The sequence below is a fragment of the Homo sapiens genome, chromosome 1, assembly GCF_000001405.40.
Source record: "Homo sapiens chromosome 1, GRCh38.p14 Primary Assembly".
NCBI lineage: Eukaryota > Metazoa > Chordata > Mammalia > Primates > Hominidae > Homo > Homo sapiens.
In genome coordinates, this window is record NC_000001.11 from 54,708,324 (window position 1) to 54,715,254 (window position 6,931).

General features: G+C 51.6%; 1 protein-coding gene and 1 long non-coding RNA gene across 7 annotated transcripts in view; both read left to right on the forward strand.

Moving 5' to 3' along the window:
* MROH7 (maestro heat like repeat family member 7) overlaps positions 1-1,943 on the forward strand; it is a 68,481-nt gene extending 66,538 nt beyond the window's left edge. For all 4 annotated transcript variants that reach the window (NR_111931.2, NR_026782.3, NM_001039464.4 and 1 more), the window contains 2 exons: positions 691-753; positions 1,623-1,943. Coding sequence is in view for 2 of the 4 variants with exons in the window: in NM_001039464.4 (NP_001034553.3) it covers positions 691-753; positions 1,623-1,864 (305 nt within the window). In the remaining 2 variants the exon portion in view is untranslated. The remainder of the gene's footprint in view (positions 1-690; positions 754-1,622) is intronic.
* The window catches only part of MROH7-TTC4 (MROH7-TTC4 readthrough (NMD candidate)), a 100,918-nt gene that overhangs the window by 66,584 nt on the left and 27,403 nt on the right, over positions 1-6,931 (forward strand). For 2 of the 3 annotated variants that reach the window (NR_037641.2, NR_037640.2), the window contains 1 exon segment: positions 691-753. This is a non-coding gene — a long non-coding RNA (MROH7-TTC4 readthrough (NMD candidate)). 3 annotated transcript variants of the gene reach the window in all.

The window sequence follows — 6,931 nt, forward strand, 5'->3', positions numbered from 1 at the left end:
GGCTGAGGCAGGAGGACTGCTTGAGCCCAGGAGTTTGAGGCTGCAGTGTGCTATGATCATGCCACTGCACTCCAGTCTGGGCAACACTGTCTAAAAACAAACAAACAAACAAACAAACAATAGTGAGGGAAGGAGCTTCTGAGAGGTACAGCCCATTTAAGGACCTGCAAATACTGCAGGAGCCAGGCTCACAGGCTGGCAGCAAGGGAGGGATGAGCAATGCATCAGAGGAGTCATCAGAAACATATCCTTGACCCAGCATAGTTGAGTCTCAGCCCTCTAGGGCCCTGCTATAGCCTTGCCTGACAGGTATGCAAGGTGCTCAGTGTCTTACATTACTGCTCAAACTCCCCATAGAAGTGGACAGCAGAGACAGCACTTCCTTGTGTCACAGATGAGGAAACTGAGCCCCAGCCTGGGTACTGGGCTAGCCTCAGGCTGCACTGTCAGGGTCAGCTGCAGCCCAGATACTGCCCCTATCCTGGTGCCATCCTGCCCACTGGACCAGTCATCCTTCCCAGGACCCCTCTTGGGGAATCTGTCCCAGGGTCCAAATGAAGTTTTGTGTTCTCATGTGTGGGGCTGGAGGATAATGGGAAAAGCATCTCTGAGGAACTCTGGTCTAAGGGTGGGTTGGGGTGGGGTCGACGTCGGAAGACAAATGCCCTCACTTCTTGGATTACGCTCAAGGGTCCCTGGTCCCCTGCATGGAGAGCATAATGACAGAAGATCGTCTGAATGAAGTGAAAGCTGGTAAGTCATGCCCCGCATTGGTGAAATTTCAGGGGACAGTGAGACAGTGAGTAGAATCACAGTGGGTAACAGGGAAAGGGAAGGGATGTGTCCCAAGACAAGGGTCTTCAACTCAGTTCAGTTGTACTAGTTTTTTGTTTGTTTGTTTGTTTGTTTGTTTTGAGATGGAGTCTCACTCTATCGCCCAGGCTGGAGTGCAGTGGCACAATCTCGGCTCACTGCAACCTCTCGCTCCTGGTTCAAGCGATTCTCCTGCTTCAGCCTCGCAAGTAGCTGAGACTGCAGGCAGATGCCACTGCGCCTGCTAATTTTTGTATCTTCAGTAGAGACAGGGTTTCACCATGTTGGCCAGGCTGGTCTCGAACTCCTGACCTCAAGTGATCCGCCCGCTTCTGCCTCCCAAAGTGCTGGGATTACAGGCATGAGCCACTGCGCCTGGCCAATTTTACTAGTTTTTAATCCAGGTTTAGTATAGCATTAAGTACCACTGGGTTACCAAGAGACAGAACACACAGCCCCACCCAAGGGGAGCTCACAATCTCATTAAGGAAATGAGGCTCCAAAGTGAGACCAAAAGCCATTTGGTGCAGGGTGACTCTTAAGTGGGGACTGACTCACTTTGTAACCAAGGAATATGATGAAAGCATTAAGGTAGGCTGGGACAGTCCAGGAAGGCTTCCTGGAGGAGGCAGGTTTTGATTCAGGCTCTGAAAAATGTGAATAATTTGAATTGCCAGGAGGAAAGTGAGATGAGGGGATGCCAAGCAGAGGGTGCCTAAGCCAAGGCATGGAGATGGGAAGGATTAGGTATGAGACCCACATAGGGCCCTGGGTCTTAATAGGAGGCTTCTCCCTTCCCCATGACGCAGCTCTGGATAACTTGAGACATGACCCAGAAGCATCAGTGTGCATCTACGCAGCCCAGGTCCAGGACCACATCCTGGCCAGCTGCTGGCAGAACTCCTGGCTGCCGCACGGGAACTCATGGGTGTGTTACTCAGCCACCACCCACCGCTGGAGCCCCAGCTGTGAGAACCTGCCCACTTCCCACCAGCGGCGCTCCTGGATCATGCAGGCACTGGGCTCCTGGAAGATGTCCTTGAAGAAGTGACGTCCCTGAGCCCCAAACCCTCCTCAGGGTGGTTGAGTTCCAGCCATGCTCCCTATAAATGTCATGTGGCTTACCTCTCCATCTTGATTGTTTCCTCCTGGGACATCCCCCAGGCTCTGGAGCAGCCATCACTTTGAGAGGAGTTTGCCTTGGTTTGTTGGCTCAGTCAATAACTATTGACTGACGTAGTCTGTTTTGCCCATATTGTATAAGTGAGGAAGTGAGGCCCAGAGGGATGAAGTGGCTTCCCCAGGGCCACACAGTAAGTCTGCTGGATGTCTCAGTTTCCCCTGCCCCATATTAGAAGAACAAAAGGAGATGATGATTTGGATGGCCACTGGGGAAAGGGAAAAAAGGGAAAGAAGAGACAGCCCCACCCCCACGACAACATACATATCCCAAAACCCTGAATTCTGAGTCCCGCCCTTGGGTCTTTGCCCAGTAATTGGCCACCACAGATTCTAGCAGCATTTACTGAGCATCTAATCTGGGCCAGCCCTCCTCTGGGTGCCATGACACACACATGAACAAGACCCAGCCCCAGACCAGGCCCTAGCAGTTCATAGTCTGATACGGTGGTTCTCAGCCAGGGGTGATTTTGATCCCCAGGTAATATTTAACAATGTCTGGAGATGCTTCTGGCTGTCGCACTTGTGGGGGCTGGGAGGTATGCTATTATCATCTAGCGGGTAGTGGCCACGGATGCTGCTAAACATCCTACTCTGCTGAGGACAGTCCTTCAACAAGGAGTTCCCCATCCCAATTGTCAAAAGTGCCACGGTTGAGAAACTGTGGTCTAATGAAAGTGTCAGAAACATATACAGACACCAACAGCACAGCAGGTCAGCATGCGGGCTTCAGCGTCCAGAGGAGGTACATAGACCAGCAGGCGGTGAGGTGTCAGATAAGGCTTCTGAGGGAAGAAACTCCCCTGCAGGGGGTTTGGAAAGAACATGTATGGAAGGGAGCAGGACACATGGAACCAAGGAACAACTGCAGTCCTTCAGTGCACACAGCCCAGAGAGAGAGGGGAGAGGAGTTCCAGGCTAGAGCCACGGAAGCCTTGGAGGCTGTGTTAAGGAGGGAGACTTCATCCAGATAGGAGTGGTAAGGCATTGTGGGATGCTAAGCAGGGGAGGGATGTAGACAGATGCCTGCTTTAGAAGGCACCTCCTCCTGGGGATACAGGAACCCTCAGGCACTGCTGGTAAGATGGTAAATTGGTGCCGCTCTTCTGGAATCTGTAGAAATCTGTCATTATTCGGTCACTTCAGTCTTATTAAGTTCATGCATACCCACGACTGAGCAGTTCCACTCATGGATACATAGCTCGGGGGAATATTCCACAGGTCCATAAAGAGAGATGCATGAGGAAGTTGATCAGTGTTCTTTGTGGTGGTGGGGAGAGGAGGCAGCCTGGGTATCCACCCCTTGGGAGAGTATGTGTGCCGTGGAGCCCTGCACAGCAGTTCGGGGCTGCCAGATGGGACCTAAAACCCAGTGCTGAGGGGAAAAAGTGTATCAAGAATGTATACACAAAAGTTGGCCAGGCGCGGTGGCTTACTTCTGTAATGCCAGCACTTTGGGAGCCTGAAGCGGGTGGATCACCTGAGTCAGGAGTTCGAGACCAGCCTGACAAACATGGTTAAACCCCGTCTCTACTAGAAATACAAAATTAGCCAGGCGTGGTGGCGCATACCTGTAATCCCAGCTACTCAGGAGGCTGAGGCAGGAGAATCGCTTGAACCTGGGAGGCGGAGGTTGCAGTGAGCCAAGGTCGCGCCATTGCACTCCTGCCTAGGCAATAAGAGTGAAACTCCATCTCAAAAAAAAAAAAAAAAAAAAAAAAGAATGTACACACAAAAGAATTCACATTTTGGAAGAACACTTAGAAACTGAGAAGACACAGTAAACACACTAGAGGCCAGGTGTGGTGGCTCATGCCTGTAATCCCAACACTTTAAGAGGCCAAGGTGGGAGGATCACTTGAGGCCAGGAGTTCAAGACCAGCCTGGGCAACATAGTGAGACCTCCATCTCTATAAAACAAAACAAAAAAATGCTAATAAAACATGCTAGAATGATTGATTAGGGTAAGGAGGAGGGCTTTGGGGTATAAAAGGGAGTAAATAAAAAAGGAAGCAGAAGAAGCTCACTATGTCATGGAGTGAAAGGGCTGGATGGCAGGGTGGACAAGAGCACCATCAGGGAGACTTAGCCAGAAACTGCTGAGAGAACAGTGACCAGACCTTGCAGCACAAAATGGAGAGGATGGCCAGGCCTGCAGGAGACTGAGGAAGGGGATTTTCAGAGCCTAGTGGTTGACAGAATGGAGGAGGGAGGAGGGAGAGGGAGGAGCTGAGTTTGGCACCCAGATTTCTGGGTGGATGACTAAGCCAATGGAGCCCACACTAAGTGGTGAACCCAGGACCAGGAGCAGGTTGTGGGGCAGGGGATGAGTTCAATATGGGCATGGTAAGCTTGAGGGACTGTGCAGCAAGCTAGTGGAGATATCCACAGGGCAGTTGGCTGCCGCTGTGGTCTGAATGCTGTGTCCCTGCAAATTCATATGAAATCCGAACCCCCAAGGTCATTATATTAGGAGGTGGGGGCCTTTGAGAGGTGATTAGGGATTAGTGAATGGGATTAGTGCCCTTATAAAAAAGAGCCTTCAGAGAGCTCCCTCACTACTCACACCATGGGAGGACACTGAGAAGATGGCATCTGTGAACCAGAAAGCAGGCCCTCACCAGACACCGAATCTGCCAGGCCTTGATCTCGGACTTCCCAGCCTCCACAACTGTGAGAAATAAATGTTTGCTGTTTACACACCAGAGTTGATGGTATTCCGTTATAGCAGCCTGAATAGACTATGGCGGGCACAAAGGGACACGGGTGGAGCTCAGCTGAGGGACCTGAGAAGGAAGCAGATTTGGGATTCATCTGTGTGTAGGGGCTGGGGTACAATTTCCCTGGGAGAGTATGTAGAGTGGGCAGAGACATCAGCCTGTGGAGCACCTAACTTAAGCTCCTGTTGGGGGTGAGGAACCCATGATGTTGACCACACAATCATCTTCTAATAAATGGTAGCCCAGGCCATTGGTATTCTGGGCCTGAGAGAGAGAGTAGGAAATGGGGAGATTCATTTGCACAATCCTTTCCATCACTGAGAATGTTCACAAACATTGCCTCCTTGGAGTCTTACAGTAGCCCTGTGGATTATGGGGAAGGCAGAATGGATTATGGGGAAGGCAGACTGGATTATGGGGAAGGCAGACTGGATTATGGGGAAGGCAGACTGGATTATGGGGAAGGCAGACTGGCTTTATTGCCCACATTCCACAGATGAGGACACAGCTTAATGAGGGATGGGCCTTGCCCAAGGTCATGCAAGGTAACTAATGGAAGTGTAGGTCCCGAAGATCTCCAGACTCCTATACCTGAACCCTTCCACCCAGAACCACTTCTGCTTTCATGGGCTAGGACCCAGGTCTAGGGTGGCCTTGACAGATGACAGCTGCTATATTTTGGGTCTGGGTGGCCCCTAAGCACAGCAAAGGCTGATCGACTCAGTTATCGGCCAAGACCACTAAGTAGTTTTGAGTTGGAAGGTTCAGAGTGTGCTGGGCAAGTCACTTTGCTTCTCTTAGGTTCCCCTATTGTTACCTATAAAATGGGTTCATACCTCACAGTGTTCTTATGGGAATCAAATGAGAAAAAAAAGAAAGCAAAAAGACTCTGTAGGCTCTGGACTCAGTAAAGGAAAAGATGATGAAGAGGAGAATAAGGGAGGGAACCAGGATTAGGGAGCAGGGCTGGAGGAGGAAGTGTGGAAAAGGAGGTTTGGATTTGGAGGGAAGGGAGTGCTAGGACCAGATGTTCTGCTGGGTGTGGAAGAATCAGAAGGGAAAAGATAAAGTCCTGGCACTGGAAGGCTCATGGTCCCCATGCGCCATCCTTAGCCATGCTGTCTCCATCCCCATATCAAAGAATGACTACCCTGCCAGCTCCACTGCTGGGCTTCAGATCTCTGTCTTACCTTGGTCTCTTATCAGCATCCTCCTTGTCAATCTCTTAACCAACCTCCCCCCATCAATGCTTCACCTGGCAGCCCAGGCCTTCCTAAGACAAATGTGCTCACGGCCATTGCTCCTCTTAGGTCTTTTCAGTGACTCATTATCCTCTGCAGGACCAAGGTCAGTGAGGCAGGCAGGCCTTCTGGCCCCTACCCACTTGCCGGCCACACCTCTTTTTTTTTTTGAGGTGGAGTCTTGCTCTGTGGCCCAGGCTGGAGTGCAGTGGCGCAATCTCGGCTCACTGCAACCTCCACCTCCCGGATTCAAGCGATTCTCCTGCCCCAGCCTCCCCAGTAGCTGGGACTACAGGTGCGTGCCACCACGCCTGGCTAATTTTTTGTATTTTTAGTAGAGACGGGGTTTCACTGTGTTAGCCAGGATGGTCTCGAACTCCTGACCTCATGAACTGCCCGCCTCAGCCCCCCAAAGTGCTGGGATTACAGGCGTGAGCCACCGTGCCCGGCCCTGGACACACCTCTTAACACTTGCAGTACCCAGCATGGCGGGCCTGTGCACACCTCCATGCCTCTCTCCACATATGAGCTCCCACTGCCTAAAACGCTGAGTCCTCTATCCATCTGCAGAGACCTTCCTCAGCTCTGATCTCAGCTCTGCATCACCTTGAATCCCACCCCTCTGAGCCTTCACTGAGCAGACCTGTGACCCAATGCCAGTTTAGATTGGTGTGCTTCCTGTCTGCTTTTCATTCCAGACCAGGCTAGGAGCTCCCCAAGGCTGTAGCCCCGGTGCAGGGACCTGCAGCCATTTGCTGGCCGGTAGAGAGGCTGCAGGAAGCCACAGCGGCTGCCTAACCAGGCCTGCAGCACCTGGACCGAAGACCCTTTTCCATCTGAACTGTGGGAGTTAGGGGTGGCTAAGCTCAGAGACAGAGGTCTGATCAGTCTCTCCTTTCCTCGAAACTCTCCAAAAGGTCCCATACCACTGAGGAAATAGCCAAATCCTCATAGTCACAGCCCTTTTGTCCTCCCACC